Genomic DNA, 24,204 nt, shown 5'->3' with positions numbered 1-24,204 from the left:
TGTATCATACCAACAGGATGAAAGGAATTAATCAAGAAGCATGGACTCCTTATTGAAAGATTGGTTATCCAACAATCTCAATTTTCTGGAACCCAGATAAAACTTAGAAATTAAACACAAAATAGAGTCCATTCCAAGATGGCCGAATAGGAACAGCTCTGGTCTGCAGCTTCCAGTGTGATTGATGCAGAAGATGGGTGATTTCTGCATTTCCAACTGAGGTACCTGGTTCATCTCACTGGGACTGGTTGGACAGTGAGTGTAGCCCATGGACGGTGAGCCGAAGCACAGCAGGGCATCGCCTTACCTGGGAAGTGCAAGAGGTCGGGGGGGATTTCCCTTTCCTAGCCAAGGGAAGCCATGACAGACAGTACCTGGAAAAACAGGACACTTTCGCCCAAATACTGCACTTTCCCCACCGTCTTAGCAACTGGCCGACCAGGAGATTCTCTCCCATGCCTGGCTCGGCAGGTCTCATGCCCACAGAGCCTTGCTCACTGCTAGCACAGCAGTATGAGATCAACCTATGAGGCTGCAGCCTGGCAGGGAGAGGGGTGTCCGCGATTGCTGAGGCATGAGTAGGTAAACAAAGTGGCTGGGAAGCTTGAACTGGGAAGAGCCCATCGCAGCTCAGAAAGGCCTACTGCCTCTATAGACTCCGCCTCTGTGGGCAGGGCATAGCTGAACAAAAGGCAGCAGACAACTTCTGCAGACTTAAACATCCCTGTCTGACAGCTCTGAAGAGAGCAGTGGTTCTCCCAGCATGGTGTTTGAGCTCTGAGAACAGACAGACTGCCTCCTCAAGTGGGCCCCTGACCTCTGTGTAGCCTAACTGGGAGACACCTCTCAGTAGGGGCCAACAGATATCTCATACAGGCAGGTGCCCCTCTGGGACGAAGCTTCCAGAGGAAGGATCAGGCAGCAATATTTGCTGTTCTGCCATATTTGCTGTTCTGCAACCTCCACTGGTGATACCCAGGCAAACAGGGTCTGGAGTGGATCTTCAGCAAACTCCAACAGACCTGCAGCTGAGGGACCTGACTGTTAGAAGGAAAATTAACAAACAGAAAGGAAGAGCATCAACATCAACAAAAAGGACATCCACACCAAAACCCCATCTGTAGGTCACCAACATCAAAGACCAAAGGTAGATAAAACCACAAAGATGGGGAGAAACTAGAGCAGGAAAGCTGAAAATTCTAAAAACCAGAGCACCTCTTCTCCTCCAAAGGATTGTACCTCCTCACCAGCAACAGAACAAAGCTAGACAGAGAATAACTTTGACAAGTTGACAGAGGTAGGCTTCAGAAGGTTGGTAATAACAAACTTCTCCAAGCTAAAGGAGCATGTTCTAACCCATCGCAAGGAAGCTAAAAACCTTGAAAAAAGGTTAGACGAATGGCTAACTAGAATAAACAGTGTAGAGAAGACATTAAATGACCTGATGGAGCTGAAAGCCACGGCACAAGAACTTTGTGATACAGGCACAAGCTTCAATAGCCTATTCGATCAAATGGAAGAAAGGATATCAGTGATTGAAGAACAAATTAATGAAATAAAGTGGGAAGACAAGATTAGAGAAAAAAGAGTAAAAAGAAATGAACAAAGCCTCCAAGAAATATGGGACTATGCGAAAAGACCAAATCTACATTTGCTTGGTGTACCTGAAAGTGATGGGGAGAATGGAACCAAGTTAGAAAACACTCTTCAGGATATTATCCAGGAGAACTTCCCCAAACCAGCAAGGTAGGCCAACATTCAAATTAGGAAATACAGAGAACACCACAAAGATACTCCTCGAGAAGAGCAACCCCAAGACACATAATTGCCAGATTCACCAAGGTTGAAATTAAGGAAAAAGTGTTCAGGGGAGCCAGAGAGAAAGGTTGGGATACCCACAAAGGGAAGCCCATCAGACTAACAGCAGATCTCTTGGCAGAAACCCTATAAGCCAGAAGACAGTGAGGGCCAATATTCAACATTCTTAAAGAAAAGAATTTTCAACCCAGAATTTCATATCCAGCCAAACTAACCTTCATAAATGAAGGAGAAATAAAATCCTTTACAGACAAGCAAATGCTGAGAGATTTTGTCACCACCAGGCCTGCCTTACAAGAGCTCCTGAAGGAAGCACTAAACATGGAAAGAAACAACCAGTACCAGCCACTGCAAAAACATGCCAAATTGTAAAGACCATTGATGCTATGAAGAAACTGCATCAATTAACAGGCAAAATAACCAGCTAATATCATACTGACAGGATCAAATTCACACATAACAATATTAACCTTAAATGTAAATGGGCTAAATACTCCAATTAAAAGACACAGACTGGCAAATTGGATAAAGAGTCAAGACCCATCAGTGTGCTGTATTCAGGAGATCCATCTCATGTGCAGAGACACACATAAGCTAAACTAAAGGGATGGAGGAAGGTCTACCAAGCAAATGGAAAGCAAAAAAAAAGCAGGGGTTGCAATCCTAATCTCTGATAAAACAGACTTTAAACCAACAAAGATCAAAAGAGACAAAGAAGGCCATTACATAATGGTAAAGGGATCAATTCAACAAGAAGAGCTAACTATCCTAAATATATATGCACCCAATACAGGAGCACCCAGATTCATAAAGCAAATCCTTAGAGACCTACAAAAAGACTTAGACTCCCACACAATAATAATGGGAGACTTTAACACCTCACTGTCAACATTAGATCAATGAGACAGAAGGTTAACAAGGATATCCAGGACTTGAACTCAGCTCTGCACCAAGTGGACCTAATAGACATATACAGAACTCTCCACCCCAAATCAACAGAATATACATTCTTCTCAGTACCACATCACACTTATTCTAAAATTGACCACATAACTGGAAGTAAAGCACTCCTCAGCAAATGTAAAAGAACAGAAATCACAACAAACTGTCTCTCAGGCCACAGAGCAACCAAATTAGAACTCAGGATTAAGAAACTCACTCAAAGCTGCACAACTACATGGAAACTGAACAACCTGCTCCTGAATGACTTCTGTGTAAATAACGAAATATAGGCAGAAATAAAGATGTTCTTTGAAACCAATGAGAACAAAGACACAATGTACCAGAATCTCTGGAACTCATTTAAAGCAGTGTGTAGAGGGAAATTTATAGCACTAAATGCCCACAAGAGAAAGCAGGAAAGATCTAAAATTGACACCCTAACATCGCAATTAAAAGAACTAGAGAAGCAAGAGCAAACACATTGAAAAGCCAGCAGAAGGCAAGAAATAACTAAGATCAGAGTAGAACTGAAGGAGATAGAGACACAAAAAACCCTTCAAAAAATCAATGAATCCAGGAGCTGGTTTTTTGAAAAGATCAACAAAATTGATAGATTGCTAGCAAGACTAATAGAAAAGAGAGAAGAATCAAATAGACACAATAAAAAATGATAAAGGGGATATCATCACCAATTCCACAGAAATACAAACTACCATCAGAGAATACTATAAACACCTCTATGCAAATAAACTAGAAAATCTAGAAGAAATGGACAAATTCCTGGACACACACACCCTCCCAAGACTAAACCAGGAAGAAGTTGAATCTCTAAATAGACCAATAACAGGCTCTGAAATTGAGGCAATAATTAATAGCTTACCAACTAAAAAAAGCCCAGGACCATATGGATTCACAGCCGAATTCTACCAGAGGTACAAAGAGGAGCTGGTATCATTCCTTCTGAAACTAGGCCAATCAATAGAAAAAGAGGGAATCCTCCCTAACTCATTTTATGAGGCCAGCATCATCCTGTTACCAAAGCCTGGCAGAGAACCAAAAAAATAAGAGAATTTTAGACCAATATCCCTGATGAACATCAATGCAAAAATCCTCAATAAAATACTGGCAAACCGAATCCAGCAGCACATCAAAAAGCTTATCCACCATGATCAAGTGGGCTTCATCCCTGGGATGCAAGGCTGGTTCAACATATGCAAATCAATAAATGTAAAAACAGAACCAACGAAAAAAACCACATGATTATCTCAACAGATGCAGAAAACGCCTTTGACAAAATTCAACAGCGCTTCATGCTAAAAACTCCCAATAAACTAGGTATTGATGGAATGTATCTCAAAATGATAAGAGCTATTTATGACAAACCCACAGCCAATATCATACTGAATGGGCAAAAACTGGAAGCATTCCCTTTGACAACCAGCACAAGACAAGGATGCCCTTTCTCACCACTCCTATTCAATATAGTGTTGGAAGTTCTGGCCAGGGCAATCAGGCAAGAGAAAGAAATAAAGGGTATTCAATTAGGAAAAGAGGAAGTCAAACTGTCCCTGTTTGCAGGTGACATGATTGTATATTTAGAAAACCCATCGTCTCAGCCCAGAATCTCCTTAAGCTGATAAGCAACTTCAGCAAAGTCTCAGGATACAAAATCAATGTGCAAAAATCACAAGCATTCTTATACACCAATAACAGACAAACGAGAGCCAAATAATGAGTGTACTCCCATTCACAATTGCTATAAAGAGAATAAAATACCTAGGAATTCAACTTACAAGGGATGTGAAGGACGTCTGCAAGGAGAACTACAAACCACTACTCAGTGAAATAAAAGAGGACACAAACAAATGAAAGAACATTGCATGCTTATGGATAGGAAGAATCAATATTGTGAAAATGGCCATACTGCCCAAGGTAATTTATAGATTCAATGCCATCCCCATCAAGCTACCAATGACTTTCTTCACAGAATTAGAAAAAAACTACTTTAAAGTTCATATGGCACCAAAAAAGCCTGCATTGCCAAGACAATCCTAAGCCAAAAGCACAAAGCTGGAGGCATCACGCTACCTGACTTCAAACTATACTACAAGGCTACAGTAACCAAAACAGCATGGTTCTGGTACCAAAACAGATACATAGACCAATGGAACAGAACAGAGGCCTCAGAAATAACACCACACATCTACAACCATCTGATCTTTGACAAACCTGACAAAACAAGCAATGGGGAAAGGATTCCCTATTTAATAAATGGTGCTGGGAGAACTGGCTAGCCATATGTAGAAAGGTGAAACTGGATCCCTTCCTTACATCTTATACAAAAATTAACTCAAGATGGAGTAAAGACTTAAATGTTAGACCTAAAACCATAAAAACTCTAGAAGAAAACCTAGGCAATACCATTCAGGACATAGGCATGAGCAAGGACTTCATGATTAAAATACCAAAAGCAATGGCAACAGAAGCCAAAATAGATAAATGGGATCTAATTAAACTAAAGGGCTTCTGCACAGCAAAAGAAATTACCATCAGAGTGAACAGGCAACCTACAGAATGGGAGAAACTTTTTGCAATCTACCTATCTGACAAAGGGCTAATATCCAGAATCTACAAAGAACTTAAACAAATTTACAGGAAAAAAACAAACAACCCCATCAAAAAGTGGGCAAAGGATAGGAACAGACACTTCTCAAAAGAAGACATTTATGCAGCCAACAGACACATGAAAAAATGCTCATCATCACTGGTCATCAGGGAAATGCAAATCAAAACCACAATGAAATACCATCTCATGCCAGTTAGAATGGCGATCATTAAAAAGTCAGGATACAAGAGTGGCTGGAGAGGATGTGGAGAAATAGGAATGCTTTTACACAGTTGGTGGGAGGGTAAATTAGTTCAACCGTTGTGGAAGACAGTGTGGCGATTCCTCAAGGATCTAGAACTAGAAATACCATTTGACCCAGCGACCCCATTACTGGGTATATACCCAAAGGATTATAAATCATGCTACTATAAAGACATGCACGTGTATGTTTATTGTGGCACTATTCACAATAGCAAAGACTTGGAACCAACCCAAATGTTCATCAGTGATAGACTGGATTAAGAAAATGTGGCACATATACACCATGGAATACTAAGCAGCCATAAAAAAGGATGAATTCATGTCCTTTACAGGGGCTTGGATGAAGTTGGAAACCATCATTCTGAGCAAACCATCACAAGGACAGAAAACCAAGCACTGCATGTTCTCACTCACAGGTGGGAATTGAACAATGAGAACACCTGGACGCAGGGCAGGGAACATCACACACCGGGGCCTGTCAGGGGGTGAGGGGCTGGGGGAGGGATAGCATTAGGAGAAATACCTAATGTAATTGACAAGTTGATGGGTGCAGCAAACCAACATGGCTCATGTATACCTATGTAAGAAATCTGCACATTGTGCACATGTACCCTAGAAAAAGTATAATAAAAAACAACAACGACAACAACAACAAAAAAAGGTATTATTTGGAAGCCTTGCATTTTGGATATTAAAATTCTACTTTTACCCTATTTTTCAAGGTATGAGATATCTTATACTTAAGAACTTTCAGTTTATAAAATGGTATAGATAAGAGGAAATCTATACAAGTGACTTAAATGCATGAACTCTACGGGAAGATTTGCAATTACTGATAATTGTGTAATTTTAGATTGATAAATACGTTTGGAATCTAAACATTGTAGAAGCAGAGAAGACACTCTCAAGTAGACGTTCAGGGGCTGGGTGGGGTTTAATAGATAAGGAGAGATCCCATTAGGTCCTACACAGTCACATTTGAGAAAAGCACTTTATTAGGTTTTAGACTTGCCCCTCTTCTGTTAGCTTGTGTTTTTAGTTTATTGAAGTGCATCATAGAACCCAATTAAAAAGAGAATAGAGCCAAAGGAAATTCAATTCTTATTTGACAATTCATTTCTCAGAGAATGAAATCATGTCTTTTTAAGGCAGCACAGATGAAACTGGAGGCCATTATCTTAAGTGAAACAACTCAGAAACAGAAAAAAAATACCACAGGTTCTCACCTATAAGTGGAAGCTTAATAACGTGTACACAAGAACATAGAGTGTGGAATGATAGACAGTGTAGACTCAGAAAGGTGAGGCGTGGGACTTAAGTGGAGGATGAGAAATTACTTAATCGGTACAATTGTACTTTGTTCTGATGATAGATGCCCTAAAAGCCCTGACTTTACCACTACACAATATATCTATGTAACAAAATTACATCTGTATCTCAGACATTTATATAAATAAGATGAAAACATGAAATTCATGTGTAAGCATGATTTCTTATTAAAAAAATGAGACAGCAACCAATATAAGGGCCAATTAAACAAAACAGAAAATTGAAAATATAAACAAAAGCAAAAAACTAAAAAGAGAAACATCTTTCTGAAGACAGAGTAAGAAGACACCTCATAAAATTATTTAATTATTAAATTATGGGTCAGAATATATTATTTGAAAACTCTTCAGCAGTTCAAAGTAAGAAAGTATAAATTCAATAAAGTTAAACAATTTTAAGGCATTAACAACTGAGCTAAAATGTAGCCAGGTAAAATGTATAATGACACAAATGAGATGAATATATGATAATAAACAAAAAAAGCATTAAAGTACTTAACAGAGAAAACAGGATTGAGAGTAAAATAAATCAAATGAAAATGTGAAGGTCAAGTTTATAAAGTTTTCTCAAAATGTATAAGAAAATAACTAGATGAAAATACACAGATAAGATGTTACAATTTAAGAAACCAAATACAAAAATTTTAAAAACCAATCATTAACATGTTCTGCAATATTTAAAACTGAAACTATAAATTAAAAAATAATAGAAATACCAAGTCAGTTGATTAACATTGTTTTCCAAAGAATGCCATTTAAAAATTGAACTGAATCCAATCCACAAATATTTCTTTTCTTTAATCTACTGAAAACTTTTTGCTTACTTTATTTCCATTTTTTCTAATTTTGTTCATGATTTATTATTGTAACATATTTAGAAAATCGAACATATTTATAATAGGTGCTTCTTATATATCTTTGCTTCCTAACTCTAATTTTCTGTCATTTCTGGCTCCTTAAAAACACACATTTTTACAATTCTGGAAGATAATTTCCTGTTTGGGAAAATGTGTATTAATATTTTATTAGATGACAGAATTTGTTTTCATACATAGTTGAATGCAGAATTTTGCTATATTTTAAAAATGATGTTGGACATTCTTTTAATCACAATTTCCAGAGAACAGCTGTAATCTAATGAAATTTTAGGAAATCCTTATTGTGCAAGAGTACATAATAAAGCTGCTAGTTGTAAACTTTTACTTATTTTCAATATTTTCATGTATTTTTAGGACAACAAATAAAATCTTGTGTGGAAATTAAACACAAAATACTTCTTAACAGTCAGAAAGAATGTCAAAAAGTTCATATGCTTTCCTCAAAAGCGTTGCTGCTTTGGTCCTCACCTAGAGTACATTTATTCTTATTTTATGGGAAAAAAAAATCTGACTTCAGCCTCCACTAAAACTGCTGTCAGTGGACATCAGTGCCTTCCTTGAGAAAATAACGTCCTTTCACTTATGAACTAATTCTCTTGGCAGCATTTTTAATGTTGAATCCTTTCTCCCTTTCTTATGACTTTTAATCAATTAAATAATTGGATAAAGAAAATGTGGTACATATACGTCACAGAATACAAAGCTGCCATAAGAAAAGAATGAAATCATGTATTTTGCAGCAACATGGATGAAGCTGGAGGCCATTTTCCTAAGTGAACAAACTCAGAAACAGAAAATCAAATACCGCATGTCCTCACTTACGCATGGGAGCTAAACAATGAGTACACGTGGATATAAAGATGGATATAACAGACACTGGGGACTCCAAAAGGCGAGAGGGTGGCAAGGGGACAAGGGTTGAAAACTTACCTGTTGGGTAATGGTGAACCCAAAGTTCACTATTTGGGTGATGGGTATGCTAGAAGCCCAGACCTCACCATATCTCCATGTGATGTATCCGTGTAATAAGCCTGCACATATACCTCCTAAATCTACAATTTTACAAAAGAAAAATGAATCATAATTAAGGTAAAATTTTAAAAATTAGGCTAGGCACGGTGGCTCACGCCTGTAATCCCAGCACTTTGGGAGGCCGAGGCAGGCGGATTGCCTGAGGTCAGGAGTTGGAGACCAGCCTGGCCAAGATGGTGAAACCCTGTCTCTACTAAAAATACAAAAATTAGCCGGGCGTAGTGGAGCATGCCTGTAGTCCCAGCTACTCGGGAGGCTGAGGCAGGAGAATCGATTGAACCTGGGAGGCAGAGGTTGCAGTGAGCCAAGATTGCGCCACTGCACTCCAGCCTGGGTGACAGAGTGAGACTCTGTCTCAAAAAAACAAAAAAACAAACCAAAACAAACAAAAAAATAAATTACCCATTTTCAAGTGTACAGTTCAGTGGCATTTAGAACATTCACAACGTTGTGCAGTGGCCACCTCTATCTAGTTCTTAAACATTGCTGTCACTCCAGAGTAAAACCCTGAACCCATTATGCAGTTTCCCCCATTCTTAGCCCCACACAGTCACAAATCTCCACTTATCCCTATGGATTTATTTATTCTGGACGTTCTCTATAAATGAAATCATGCAGTATATGGTCTTTTGTATCTGGCTTCTTTCACTTAGCACAAAGTTCTAAGTTTTATTTTTGGGAGGTAGCATGCATCAGTACTTCATTCCATTTTATGGCTATATTTATTATTTATGTATAATGTTCCATTTTATGGATATGCAAAATTGTGTTTATTCATTCTTCACTTGATGTACATTTGAGGTGCTCCCACTTTTTTGCTGTTATGAGCGATGCTGTTGTGCACATTTGTGGGGTTCCTAACTTTTCCACCTCAGTTTTCTCATCTCTAAAACCGAGTTGGTAATGGTAATTAGCTCATGAAATTGTTAGGATTAAATGAGGCTTAAGCACTTAGAATTGTGCCCAGAACATGGGAAAGGCTCAATAAATCTTTATTATTTTCGTAATACGTAAGCACTCAAAGTATCAGAAGTTGGTTTGTGGTAGGACAAATGACTTTAAACATCTCAATTCTTGAAGTCATCATTATCTTACTTTAATAATTAATGTAAGAAATAGTGACCCTGAATTATATGTGAAAGGTTAAAATTTCAACTATGGTCAGCATTTTTGGGAGGTAAAAAGGCAGGGATAAGTATGATACCATCTTGACGGATTTCCATCAAAACCTAGCATTAGACAGGGGAAATAAATAAGGCCTTACAGAGAGTCAAATGCCTTTTTAAAAGTAATAAGCTTTTAGTTTGAAGAGGCGGCATGAAGATTAGCTCATGTTCTAAGGGACTTTGAGTGCCATATCTCAAGCAGTAGAATTATGTGACGAAAATGATAAATGAAGAAGAGCACCCTGGAACTTCTGAGCCCAGTAGATGTGAGATGTGAGTGGAAGTAGGAGGACCAGAATGGATATTTGTACAGAGGTTGGGGGATTGTCCTGGAGAGGCGACTGGCCATATGAAGAAGAAGCAACGTACCTGGCAGCCACCTTGTATGAAAAATTGATAGAAAATGGGAAGAGACCCGCAGGAGAAGGGAAGATTCAGAACAAATGTTCTAAGCTTATGTGAGGGAAGGGCAGGAATGTCACACATGGGAATTAGAGAGTTGGAAAGGGCAGGAAGGACTGCTTTGACACCTCTGTCTTCCCACACGTTTTACTTTCTATTTAGGATTAAAAGGAGATATAGCAACACTCTTGGCTGCATTCGTGAGATCTATTTCCCATTTCCCCCTTGCTGTATCAGTCACAGTGGGTTGAGGTCTCACTGACATGGTTTAGCACCCTTTGAGCAGCCCTAGAAAGGTTTCCACACCAGCTCCCTCAGTCTAACATGCATTTCCTAACGAAACGTCATTTCATTTCCTAAAAGAAGCCATGTGGGTCTTGCCATGAATACACAGCCAAGACCGTAAAGAAATACTTGAAAATGCACTTGCTCAGCCTGCTCTTGAGAAGGAAACAATGAAGTTCTTTCCTTCTTCAATGGGGCTCAAGGGGCTTGGCTTGTGGACAAGCCACACTTCGAATGTAGAAATGTGCAGAAAAAATGAATGGCAGGCCTAAGACTGCTTCCTTAGAAAGGCCTGCTTGCAAGGCTGGCCCCTGACTGGCCTCTGGGAACCTAGATGTAGGGAAGGTTCTCAAAATTCCTTAACTCATAAGAGTGGCCTGAACTGTCTGTGCAAACTGTGTGGTTTATGCTGCACACCTGCCTTCCTTCTACATTTACGAATTGAACTCCAGTTTTTTGTTTTGTTTTTCAGGTATGAACCCTATGGTCTAAATCAGTCATGGCAGAAATTTTGTCTTGCCTAATGTCTGCTTTAAGTATGAATGGGCATGGGCCCCAATTCTGACCAATGATACACAAAGGTAATTCAGCTGGGGGCTTCTAGGAGAGGTTTTTGTACTTATAGAATGTGCTCAAGGAAGGTGTATTCTTTTCTGCCTCTGGACATGAATATTTCCTGACATGATATTGATAACTGCTATGTACATCCAGACTGAGGAGAAAATCCTCATGGTAAACTTGGCAAAGCAGAGATACAGAAAGAACCTGAGTCTTTTGCTGACATGTTTGAACCACTGAATGAACCCAGGCTGAAGTCACCATATCTCCAGACTTCTTGCTGTGTGATAATACATCTTTTTTAAGTGATCTTTAATTGAATTTCTCTTATTTGGAGCTAAAGTATCCTAGCAGACAATTAAAATATAATTCCACTACCTTGTTAAGTGAATTTAGATTGTAGTGTTTTGTTGTTATTTTTGTTGTTTCATAGAGAAGAGGCTCTTGCTATGTTGCCTAGGCTAATCTGAAACTCCTGGGCTCAAGCAGTCCTCCTGCTTTGGCCTTCCAAAGTGCTGGGATCACAGGTGTGAGCCACTGCACCTGGCCTAGATTGTAGTTTTTGAACAAAATGTATTTACGCATTTGTTTAACCAACAGTTTATGGAACGTCTTTTATGTGCTATGTGAATGGAGGACATCCAAGAAGAATAAGAAAAAGAGCTTACAATTCAGAAGGGAATATAAATTCCCACATTTATATGCCCAAATATAAATAAATATACAATTGTTTACCCAAATAAATATATAATAAATATCATATGAGGCATCTGAAGTCACATGAGACACTACAACATAATGCTGGTGTTATGTAAGTTGTTTCATACCAACATTGTTCTGAGTTCATGTTATTCAGGACACAAGTGATTCCAAATCCCTGAGCAGAGCTACCTTCCTGTCTTGCTGTCCAGAATTGGGGCATAAGCCCATTCATGCTTAGAGCAGTCACTGACAAGCGAATGCCCACCATGACAGATTGAGTCTCTGGGAGTGGTGATCAGGACAGAACTTGTAAAGTTGAGGTCTTTTTGGTCTGCTTCCCCCAGTAAGAAGAGTACCCACGTGAGGTACTCCCCGGGGTTCAAGCTCCTTAAAGTGACAGTTGCTTGTGGTTCAAGCACACGCTAGCTAGCCTTCAGCTAAACACAAATGGTCAATGCAGCGAAGAATGTTCAGCCTCCCAGAGCTCAGACTCCTTCATCCTACGGAGCTATTATGATTTTCCATTTCTGTTAGTTGGGAAGAGGTTGCCCAGGTACCATCCTATTCAAGGAATACATGGTTCAGCTTACTGGATAAACAAGCAGTATTTCTGACTCTTATTGGTTCAATGTATACTTATTGTCCACTTCCTTTAGAAATGTGGCTCTATAATGTGGGAGAGGATGGGGTGAGAGCAACAGGCTCCAACATCGCCACAGCAACACCAGCTAGCACAGGCTCGAGGAGAGCAATTTTCAGAGCCATATTCATGGCACATCTTTTAACCCAGTAACTCCACTCTAGAAATTTCCCTAAGAAGGAACTAGTGGGCAAATAGATACTTCACTGTAACATGATTAAAAGAGAGATCAATTAGATTTCTTTGTGAAAGGGAGGTTTATTAAAAGTGAAATTACTAAAAAATAAATTTTTATAAGTATCTTCCTTTCCTTAAGGACCTACCTCAGCTGATCATGTTATTGCTTTCAATCCCTGTAATAAACTGTGAGGCAGCTATTAGGAATTTCATTTTTAAAATGAAGAGGCAAAAATTGAGAAAGGTTAAATTACTTGCCTAAGATGAAAGAACTACTAAATTGAAAAAATAGTACTTAAACCTAGTCTTTTTTGTATTCAAACTTCAGTTATTTCTGTTATGGTACAAGTTAAATTGATATTATACATATTTTTCAGGGCTTTTTGTAGTCTTCATGATGATCATTTGAATGAATATATAATATTGTATTGATAATCATGAAATAACAATTAGGAAAACGTATATAATATCAAATCAGAAATATAACTTAAGTGTGTATTTACTCTAAAAATACAACTACATGAAAAAATATTAGAAGGAAACATTGAACAATAAAAATAGCTTTTTTGTAGGTAGCATTATAGGCAATTTTATTCATTTTCTTTAACTTCTATTACTATTATTATTAATATTATTTTAGAGACAGGGTCTTGTTATATTGCCCAGGCTTGTGTGCAGTGGCTTTTCATAGACATGATCATAGCCCACTATAGCCTTGAGCTTCTAGGCTCAAGTGATCCTCCTACCTCAGACTCCCAAGTAGCTGGGACTACAGGTGTGTGCCACCACGCTTGTCTAACTTCTATTGTTTTTTGTTTTTGCTATTGTTTTGATGTTATTTTGTACACAGTTTCTTTTGCAAGAAATACTGGGGTAAAGCAAACACTGAAAGATCATTCTTTTGGAATCATCAGACTTTCTTCCCCATCTCATAGTCCTAGCAAGTTGCACTCACCTTGAGGAAGGAAAAAAAAAAAAAGGATTATATAGGTATTGATATGTCTCATTCTAAGCATATACTCTTCATAGACAAGTTTATTTTTGGTTACAGGAATTCAGTTTATTATCTTAACAGTCTGTAAGAACAAGAGCAAGATAGTCACAGTTTCTTCCCTGAAGTACCAATTTCATCTGAGTGTGATATTCCAATTGCTGTGGATCAGTAGGGAATTGCGTGTAAGAAATAAGCATCAGGGAACAGGGCACTTTCTTTTGATGAAACCACAGGTTAAAAAAAGTTTTTCACCTTTGTGCTAGCCTTTTTCATATCTCCACAGTGTTGTTTAACCAGCAATATACGGAATGTCTTTTATGTGCTATGTGAAAGGAGGACACCCAAGAAGAATAAGAAAAAGAGCTTATAATTTAGAAAGAAATATAAAATGGGCACCCAAATAAATATATAATAAATATAATATGAGGCATCTTAAGTCACATGAGATACCACAACATAATGCGAAAACACAATTTTCACCTTTGTGAAATACTCTCAAGAATTATCGTGAAATGACTCTTACATACAATTCCCTACTGATCCACAGCAACTGGACTATCACACTCCACAGTGTTGTGGAGTTAAGAAGAGGCTAACACAAAGGTGAAGAATTTACTTCAAGTAAAGGTAACACTATACACAGACATGGAGGATTCCTAGTTTCCATTTCTGTAAATAGGGAAAGGTCTATGTGAACCCGCCTATGGCAGGATGGAGGCAGCCAAACTAAGCCCACTTCTGCCATTTCTTTTGATACATTTGGCAGAGTTGATGTGGACATTTTAAGGAATAAGGAAATATATTGAAAAGGAAAGGGATAAAATAAAAATCAGTTAACTTATGACCTTGGCAAAATAGCAACTTTAAAGGAGGCAGCATCTTTCCGTTGTCAAGTTGCTACAAAATTATCTCTGTGACCTGAACACTAGCACATTAACTCTAATAACATCTCTGCTCACTGGGCCTGGAATGGGCATCCACCTCCCATCTCCCCAGCTCCAGCCACCATTCAAGTTTATTCTTTGGGATTCTGTTTATTCATTCAACGAATATTTGAATGCTTACTAGGTGCTAGGTATTGAGACAGGCACTGAGAGTGTGAAAGTTGTCAGAATCAAAATGGAGTCATTTGTGTTAAAAACTCTGACAAACAGAGGTGGGGAAAGCCATGAAGGGAGAGTTCCCAGGCTTGTATGCCTGATACCCAGAACTGTCCCCAAAGACTCTGCAGAAACCACAACCTTGCACAAAAAAATACCTCTGCAAGGGTGTCTACCCAGCAACTGCCTGTCCAACCTCAAACTGGCACCACCTTTGTTATTGATCCTTGAAGCCAAGGATAATTATCTCAGAAACAATTAATGTAATGCTCTTCACTTTTCCCTTAAAAGCCTTTACCTCCCTGAATACACACATAGGTGACTATGGCACACATACTCCCACTGGAATGCCCTATCCATGAATAAATATCATTTTCTTTTAGAGAGCCTCTCTGTTTGTTATTTAGGTTGGCAGGAGACTAAAAATATACATGATCTTCACGTTGTGGAGCCTACAATCCAGCTAGAAGACAGAAATTAATCAGAAAAATCACAAAAAATAAACATAATTTCAACTGTGATAGGTTCTACCAAAACAAACAACTCCTCCACACCCCTCCAAAAAACACACACAACTTAGTTTCAACCAGAGCAATGATAGGCTGAGTTGACCTGACTGTGAACGTCAAGGAGGACTTCCCAGAGGAACAGATGACTGAAGGAGGTCTGAAGGAAGTCTGCGTTAACTAAATGAAGAGAAAGGAACAGCATATTCCAGCAGAGAGTGGGGCAAGTTTGTCCCAATGCCCCATGCCTGGAAGGAACAAAGTCCTGGAAGCAGATCAATGTGGAGAAAGGGAAAGGAAGAAGGGGGAACTTGACACAGGATGAAGCTGGTTAGATGTCAGACCACGTGGAACGTTGAGAACCATGTAAGTAGTTTAGTCTTTATCCTAAGAGCAATGGGAAACTGTGGAAGATGTTCATGATCAGATTTGGGTTAAAAAAAAATCACTCTGGGCCAGGTATAGTGGCTCATGTCTGTAATCCCAGCATCTTGGGAGGCTCACGTGGGCTGACAGCTTGAGCCCTGGACTTTGAGACCAGCCTAAGCAACATGGTGAAACCCCATCTCTAGCAAAAAATGCAAAAATTAGACAGGCATGGTGGTGTGTGCCTGTAGTCTCAGCTACTCGGGAGGCTGAGGCATGAGTATTGCTTAAGCCTAGGAGTTTGAGGCTGCAGTGAGCCATGATTCTGCCTGCCACTTCACTCCAGTTTGTAGGGTGGAGTGAGACCCAGCTTCAAAAAAAAAAAAAAAAAAAAAATCACTCTGGCTTCAGAGTAGAGAAGGGCTTATAGTAAGAGCAATGGTGGCTCCTGGTCTGTTGCAATTTTCCAGGCAAGAAACGATGGTGGTTTATACTACAGTGGTGATGTTAGTGGATATGGAGATGGGAAATGAGGGGGAATTCACAAAGGTCTTCTGGGTTACTCTATAAAAAAGGAAACATACTCGAAAGCATAACACATAACGACTTTTTCTGCCAACATATTTGTTGGAGATTTGGAGGAAAATATATGGTGAATGCTGTGGCTTGGATCACTCAACTTCTAACCCAATTTCCTTCTAATATGCTTTTCTATAGTGTAGAGGCCAGAGAGATAAAATTGCATTGCAAATCCCCCGCAGTTAGATTTGCAGATGTGGTTTAGAAGGTACCAACCCAATGCACTTACATAAGACATGAATTCAGGAAAGAGGTAATAAAGGAAGAAGCAGGATTCAAAGCACACTTTTTGCTGGTGTGGCTTGTAACAGAAGGAGTAGGGTTCTGGCAATTCTGCCAAATCTTTCTGATTTGACAGGCGGCCTCCTAATGGTGGCAGGAGCTATGGCAATTGGCAGCCCAGTTTGGCAATGCCTGGCACATAAATGCTTAAAACGCATGGGCTATTATTATTACACTTAGGATATACAGCAGATAATAATATAGTATGTCTATGTGCTACAGAGACAGAAACTAAAGGATAATTAAATGCTCACCCCAAATTCTGAGGTAGTTCAGTCGTGAAGGGAATATTGTTTCATGGTTTAATAATGTGTATGACATTGGTGTCCCTAAGCCCATGTTATATTCCTTTTTACAAGTAGCCTATGCTTCACAGTATAACATGCTAACAAACCTGATTCTGTCAAATGCTTGGGAGAAAGCTAGCCTGTTGAAACCAAAGGAGGCCTGGGTGCAGTGGCTCATGCCTGTAATCCCAGTTCTTTGGGAGGCCAAGGCGGGCAGATCACTTGAGCCCTGGAGTTTGAGACTAGCCTGGGCAACATGGTGAAACCCCATCTCTACAAAAAATACAAAAGTTAGCCGGGTGTGGTTAGTGGTGGTGTGTGCCTATAGTGCCAGCTACTGGGGAGGCTGAGGCATGAGAATCACTTGAACCCAGGAGTCAGAGGTTGTGACAAACCAAGATCACACTGTGGCAAGCCAGGTCTCACTAATGCAGGCCTCCATAACAACTGTTTCAGTACTGACTGAGTGGATAATTTAAATATTAAAAGCCAGTGCCCTTATACAAAGGCTGAGGTGTAAGAAAAGCCCACCAAGAGTTTTGCCTAGGCCTTTCCTGGGACTTAAAGCACGACAAAATAATGAAGGAATTCTTAACAGGACTCATTTAGGATTAAACAAGTTTTATTGTGGGTCTGAAGAAACTCCCCAGGCTTCCACAAACAAGCTTATTGGGGGGGTTGGAAGGAACTCCCCAAACTTCCATGCTTTAGCAGGAGACAAGATAAGGGTAATCATTCCAGCACCTGGACCCATTTAGATTAAGTAAATTTACTCAGGCTCCAGAGGAAGGTCTTCAGGACTCAGACCTTAGTTACAGATTAAAAGAAGTTAATTACTTATGTGTTAGATGAATGCATACTTACATGTAGACATATAACTTAGGAAGTATATAAGCTCTGGAAAACTTTGTAATTTGGAGTTGGTCTGGCGATGATCTCCAGGCCTTCTCCCCGTACCCAGTTGCAAAAATAAAAACTCTTTTCCTCCCCAGTTCATCTGCATCTCATTATTGGGCCACGAGAAATAGCAGCCCAACACTTAGTTTGGTCTGGGAACACCACCACGGCACTCCAGCCTAGGCAACAGTGAGATCTTGTCTCAAAAAAAAAAAAACAAAAAAAGAAAAGAAAAGAAAGGAAACTAAAGGTGAGCAATCTTCCTCTAGAATGTCCCAGAAATTGTAAACAGCTGATGAAAAACAATTTAGAATTAGAATAATCTGTGACTTTTAGTTGCACTGATCGTATTGACTTAAACTAAGCAGGAAATATATCTGAACCAGGAAAACTAACAATGTTGCAACTTCCTCTACAAGGATAACTTTACTGTAATAAATACATTTTTGTTCAAAAGTTAAAAACGTTAACAAAGACATGCAGGAAATGGCTCTCTGCTCCTAATTCCCAAAATAATTTCTCTCTGCTCTGAACACATTTTTGGTACCTCTTAGGACATCTTCCATTTTTTAGCTTGTGTTGTAGTTATTTATGTCCACATCTGATCTGCCCAATATAGAAAACTACAAAAGCACTGAAGGGACACTCACTGATTCATTTTTATTCACTTTAAAGTGCTTGCTAAGAATGATCCCTTACACAAAGCAGGCAATCTATATTTAATAAAGGAATTGGTGAATTTTTGAACAATCCTTGTCAAGAATTATACTAACAGTTGTAAAAGAATGCTTACAAGGTGTTCATATGCAACTAAATACTTTGATTCATTTTTCAGATAAAAGTGAAGGAGGAAGAAGATGAGTAGGGCTGTACAGGGTGGAGAGGGTGGCAACTCTGCTTTAGACAAGTGTTTTTCCCACTTTCCATAGGCAGTAGATGTGGCAAAAAGATGGCTCTTTAAGAGGAGACTTAGCCTCTGACCATTCATAGGCTGTATGATTATGGTCAAGACACTAGCAACTTTCTGGGCCTTGCTCCGCCACCCCTTCATAAAAGAAGTTGATGAAGTGATAAACAATAGTTCCTCCTCACTTGTAATCATATCAGAAGACTGACACTATTAGGGATCTTAAAGTTCATCTAGCCCCAGAATGGCAATTCAGCATTATCTTACATGCTGATCTTGGCCTATCAGTGGCAGCTTCTCGCAGTGTTGAGAACGATTCTGAGGCTCTATTTGGACTTAGCGGATAAGGCAGCCTTGACTGCCATAATGATGTCTGCTACAAGGCGGGAGGAAAGTGGCAGCAAATAAGTCAAGATGTGTCATCCCTAATTTAGCCCAATGCCTTCTCTTCACAGGAAAAAAAATGAGACCAGAAGCTTTTGAGTCTTTTGAGTTTACCATGTGCCAGGCACTATGCAAATTGCTTTTACATTCACAATTGTATTTAATCCTTAGACAACTTTAAGAAGTTAGCATTATTATCATTCCTATTTTACAGATGAGGCTTAAGAAAACAAAATTTGCCTGAGGTTCACACCTTAGAAACCCATATCCATAAGCATTTCCCTATATCGCCTCCTGCAGGCACGTACTATGTGTTATGCCAGTGGTTCTCATCAGGGGGGATTTTGCCCTCCAGAGGACTTCTGGCAAAAGTCTGGAGATTTTTTGTTGTTACAACTGGGGAGGACAGGGTGTTCCTTGAATCTAGTAGGTGGAGGCCAGAGATGCTGCTAAATGCACAAGACAGCACCCCCCCAACCTTTACCTCCAGCAGGAAAGAATTATCTCCCTAAAATGTTAATAGAGCTGAGGTTGAGAACTCTGCACTAGACTATGCGGAAATTGTTTGCAAATGGATGATCAAACTCTTCCTGTAGTCCAGCAGCTACATAAATATCTCCATTTTACAGACAAGGAAAGGTGATTGCAGAATCAGGTGGTCATCACAAGACAGGAACTGAGGTAGTCTGATTCTAGAGGCCCTCAGTTTCCTTTACTATCAAAACATGCAAACTCAAGTAGCACCCGCTTACCTATTACCAATTTCAGAAGCTAAGACCACTGTGTCACATGTGAAAAATTCCCACTGTGGTGGGCTTGTCTCCAAAGAGAAAAATTATTTGTTCAACAGTTCAAAGAAGAGGGTCTCTAGGAACTCTTAATATGGAACCACTGGTCTTTATTAGACATTCAAATCGTTATTTTAAAATAAGACGCTGAGGAGAAAGCTGATTTTAGAACATTAACAAACTTTTTCAAGAATAATTAGCTCTGCGTGGGTTTCAACTTTTATTTTTATTTTTTCCTTTTGATTTTAGGAGCTGGAGAGCCTGGAAGTTTATTTAGGAGTAGAAGAGGAAATGAAACTATGAAAAGCCACAGTACGATTCCTCCTTTACTTGGAGACAAGGCACAATGTGAATAATTCTCTCATCCTGTCCAATTAACTGCCTCAAGTACACACACACACACACACACACACACACACACACACACACACACAGAGAGAGAGAGAGAGAGAGAGAATGTACACTCTATTATTATTTGATTAGGAAGACATTAATGAAAAAGCTCGGAACGGGATGCTAAACAACAAAGCCCTATGCAAATCACTTCCTTTCGGATTGAAGGCTTGTCTCCTACAGAAAAACCAATGCTAAAGAAACAGGCGGAGAGGCTGAAGGTGGAGAGCAAAAGAAAAAGAAAGAAAATAGCTTGAACGAGGAAAGGGACTGGCAGGAGGAGGACAGAGCAAGCCTCTCTCAGAGAGAAATTACAGAAAGACGGAAGGAGGTTTGGGAAAACCCAGTCTAAGCTGCTCCGACGGCGGGGCTGGGCGTGGGCAAGGTGCCTCCTTGGACGGTCCGCGCGCCTGCCAGACGCGTCCTTCCACTACCCGTCCAGCCACCTGGCGCTGGTCGGGCTTTGCGAGGTGGTTTAGGAACCGCGGAGTCATTCGATTTGAAATCTTCTCCAATAAGCTTCTCCGTGTGCCGACGTGGGCAGCATGACAGTGGATTTGCTCGGCAGCATCTCTGGCGCCTCCCGCCCTCGCCCGCCGCCTGCCAGATCCGAAACAGACAGTCCCAGACATTTCGCGAGGGGGATGGTTCCAGAAAGCGAAGATCTGAGCGTGGTGAATGAAATGTGAACAGAATAGCTCCGGAAAGAGTCTCAGAAACCTTGAATTGGGGTCAGTTTGGAGACTGAAAATGCGTCGAGCGCTGCAGGTGGTGGTTGGCAGGGGGATTTAACACTGTGGAGCCCTTACTCCGTCCCAGGCGCTGAGCCCAGCGAGCCACGCGCGGTGCCCAGCTCGGTGAGGTCGGTTAGTTGGGTCTTCAGGGAGGCTAAATACCCTGTATTTGCTATTCCCTTCGCCTGGAACGCTCTGTGCGAGACTGGGTGTGGCAGCTCCTTTCCCAGGCTCAGGAATCTGGGTAAAAGCCACCCTCGCCTAGAGGCCCTCAGGGTGAGCGCCCCATCACGCGCTAAACCACTTTCGAAAGTGGACTTGGCCCTCCTCTCAGTACTAACAGTCTGTCAGCCTTTTATTTTTTGCATAGATATGTATTTTCTCTTCTTTATTGTCTGTCTTTCCACAAAAAATGCAAGCCCCGTGAGTACTGGAGCCTGGTGCGCCTTTCTCACAGTTGCAAGCTCGCAACTGCTCCTGGCATATACTAGGTGCTCACTAAATGCTCATGCCCTTCCCACCCGCCACCTGCGGCACTCGACACATTTGCAGTCTGCAAACTGACCCCAAACCATCAGCTGCTTGCATTCGTCCTAGGATCAAAGAAGGCCATTGGGCTAGTGGGAAGTCAAGTCGGGTGGACTTTTCCGTCTTTCAGGGAGATTTAATAGTAACGACGGTGCTCTCCCCACCTCCTACCCCCTTGCACATAAACTGCACAGAACAAAATCACCCCGGCACGAATCTGCACGACTGCCTCTGGAGGTAGGGTCACGGTCTCCGAGCCCCGGGTCTCACACTGATGCTGTCCTTTGTCATCTCGTGCCTAGAGTGCTGCCTCCCTATGTATTTCCTCTGTTCTCGACTCCTCTGCCACAGTCTGACTTTCTCGGGAGGTCGAGTTCTCCTAGCCTGTGCGACCGCAAGGGTCCCCTGGAGCCTTCTCCGTAAACCTGCCCCTCCCGCGCTGCCCTCACTTTTTCCTCCTTCCCTGGCCCGGAAAAGCCACTAGAGGAACATTTACCGAACGCCTACCGCGCGCAGGCACCGAGCTGGGCCACCGGGAGCCCCACCCAGTGCCTCGCCGCAGGACTCGCCTCCCTCCGCCCTCCCAACCCATCCGGAATCCGGGGTCCCTAGTTCCCCCGCCGCGTCATGGAATCCGCTGGCTTCTTCCGAGGACATCGCCCCACCTCCTTCCCGAAAGGCGACTTCTGATTGGTGAGATTGTGCATCACTCTGCCGCCCTCCCGCCCCCTCGGGGCCCCGCCCCTGGGCCTCTCAGGCCCCTCCCCTGCGCTCCCGCCCTTGCGCGGCTCCTCGGGCTAATCGCCGGGCGGCGCGCGCCGAGAAGTTCTGGGCAAAGTACTCAGAACTGGCCGCGTGCTGGTGGCGCCCGCCAGCCGGCCCGGGAGAGGGGACTTGAGCGCTTCGCGGCCGGTGCGCAGCGCGGCTCCGGCCCCGCAGTCTGTCTGCAAGTGGCCATCCCCGCCCCCGACTCCTGCGGCCGGTGCGGGAGCTGTCAGCTGCACGTTGCGGGGGTACCGGAGAAGCCGGGGTTGCCTTCTCCCGGTTCTGTGCGCTAACCCCGGAGCCCGGCCCCGGGGAACTAGGGAGCGTCTCCGGCTGCACAGCGCTCAGGTGAGTGGCGGGGCGCCCGCCTAAATGGGGCCTGGGTGTCGGGGGGCCTGGCGGCGGCGCGGGCTCGGAAGGGCTGCTGTTTGCGGGGCGCCGCGGTTCTCTGCCGGACCGGGGTCTGTCCGAGTCGCCCGGGGAGGCTCCGGCCCTGGGGCAGACCCAAGCCTGGGAGCTTGGGTGCCGGCTGCAGCTCCCGGGGAAGGAGGACCCGGGTCTCACCCACCCCAGGACACCTTCCCTCGAGGGACGGCTCAGAGGATTGACCGCCAGGAGGAGCCGAGCGCAGGGGCCGCGGCGCAGGTGCGGGAGGACGCGGCGCGCGGAGCTGTCCTGGGCAGCGGGGAGGCGCTACGCCGGGGCTAGAGGCTCAGGAAGCCTGGTAAATTGGGGCGAGCGCGAAGCTTTACCACATCCGCGGGATGGGGCGCGCCGGAGAGACTGAGACAACGCTCGCGGGGCAGGCGCTCCGCTCGCCCGCCTTCCCAACCCCGGCTTGCTCAGCTCCCCGGTGCTGGGCTGGAGGCCCAGGGCACATTCCTTTCTTGTCTGAATTTACATATTCATCAGCTTTCTGGCCCCTTCTGGAATTTTTTTTTTTTGTTAGTTTCCAATTACTACTGTTCAGATCACCTTCAGGCTCACCCTAACTCTCGTCTCAGTGTCTCTCACATTGGTCCTTTCCTGGAGGCCCTGCAGCGTCTTAGTTCAGGGTCTTAGGGACTTATGCACTCTGTCTGAACGTTGTCTACAGTTGGGTTTTCCTACCTCTGTCTCTGTTTATTCCGTGGTCAGGTAAATTCTTTAAGTACTGTCATCATAAGCCAGAAACTCCCAGGCAGCCTCTTAGCGCTGCCCAGCTTCCCGGGGAGCGTTTGTGGCCTCTGGAGTCGCTGATGGGCACTGTCGCAGGTCGTCCAGATACTTCTTAAGCAGGGGCGCGCCGCCCTTCCTTCGGCAACGCAACTTGCTTGCTGCCTTCTGCACACTTGTGCTTGTCCTTCTCCGCCTCACAAGCCACCAGTCTCCTCAGTCGGGACTCTTGGAGCTGAGGGGACTGTGAAGTTGTCGGTTTCCATGTGTCTGCGTACTGCGCAGAGGTGCTTGAGACCCCCTAGGTGTTGCTCTGACCCTCAGAGTTTGAGTATTGGGATGAGGGCATTTAGAAATATTTTAAACTACAGCTGCAAAAGAGATACTTCCACAGATGGGTGAAAGCGAAGGCCTGGCTTCTCATCATCTGCACTGTACCCCGCAAGTATCATACAAGGTGAGGTCCTTGGCTAAAGGACTATACTTGGCTAAAGGAGATCAGTCAAGCAGGCCTAGGTTCTTATGCATCCAAGCTAAATGACCATCCCCTCCAGCCAAGCCACATCACCCGTTTGCTGTTGCTCATAGCACTTAAATTTCTCTCTGAAATTGTCTCTTTGGGTTATTGGGTTATCTGCCTTCCCTCATTAGGATGTAAGTACCAGGAATGCAGAGACCTTGTCTGTCTTGTTCATCACTTGATCCCCTGTGTCAAGAACACGCAGTAGGTTTGCAGTAAACA

General features: G+C 42.3%; 1 protein-coding gene across 22 annotated transcripts in view, besides 3 other annotated features; it reads left to right on the top strand.

The window, feature by feature from the left end:
• Positions 1-20,695: 20,695 nt before the first annotated feature.
• OSBPL3 (oxysterol binding protein like 3) overlaps positions 20,696-24,204 on the top strand; it is a 185,309-nt gene continuing 181,800 nt past the window's right edge. For 13 of the 22 annotated variants that reach the window (XR_007060001.1, XR_007060007.1, XR_007060005.1 and 10 more), the window contains exon 1: positions 22,363-22,655. The gene's annotated coding sequence lies outside the window, so the exon portion shown is untranslated. Of the gene's footprint in view, positions 22,236-22,362; positions 23,032-24,204 lie in introns of those variants that run through there. The other 9 variants (XM_047420146.1, XM_047420134.1, XM_047420131.1 and 6 more) reach the window with 5 other exon arrangements.
• Positions 20,894-21,063: an enhancer, noted in NCBI's record as "active region_25762". NCBI's record gives its function as "activates an Ori minimal core promoter by ATAC-STARR-seq in GM12878 lymphoblastoid cells {active_cell/tissue: GM12878}" and the evidence as "EXISTENCE:reporter gene assay evidence [ECO:0000049][PMID:35858748]".
• Positions 22,204-22,713: a silencer, noted in NCBI's record as "silent region_18022". NCBI's record gives its function as "represses an Ori minimal core promoter by ATAC-STARR-seq in GM12878 lymphoblastoid cells {active_cell/tissue: GM12878}" and the evidence as "EXISTENCE:reporter gene assay evidence [ECO:0000049][PMID:35858748]".
• Positions 22,764-22,973: a silencer, noted in NCBI's record as "silent region_18021". NCBI's record gives its function as "represses an Ori minimal core promoter by ATAC-STARR-seq in GM12878 lymphoblastoid cells {active_cell/tissue: GM12878}" and the evidence as "EXISTENCE:reporter gene assay evidence [ECO:0000049][PMID:35858748]".

This window comes from Homo sapiens, chromosome 7, assembly GCF_000001405.40.
Source record: "Homo sapiens chromosome 7, GRCh38.p14 Primary Assembly".
In the NCBI taxonomy this organism is placed as follows: domain Eukaryota; kingdom Metazoa; phylum Chordata; class Mammalia; order Primates; family Hominidae; genus Homo; species Homo sapiens.
Note: the sequence above shows the minus strand (reverse complement) of the source record. Positions and strands in the feature narration are given on the sequence as shown.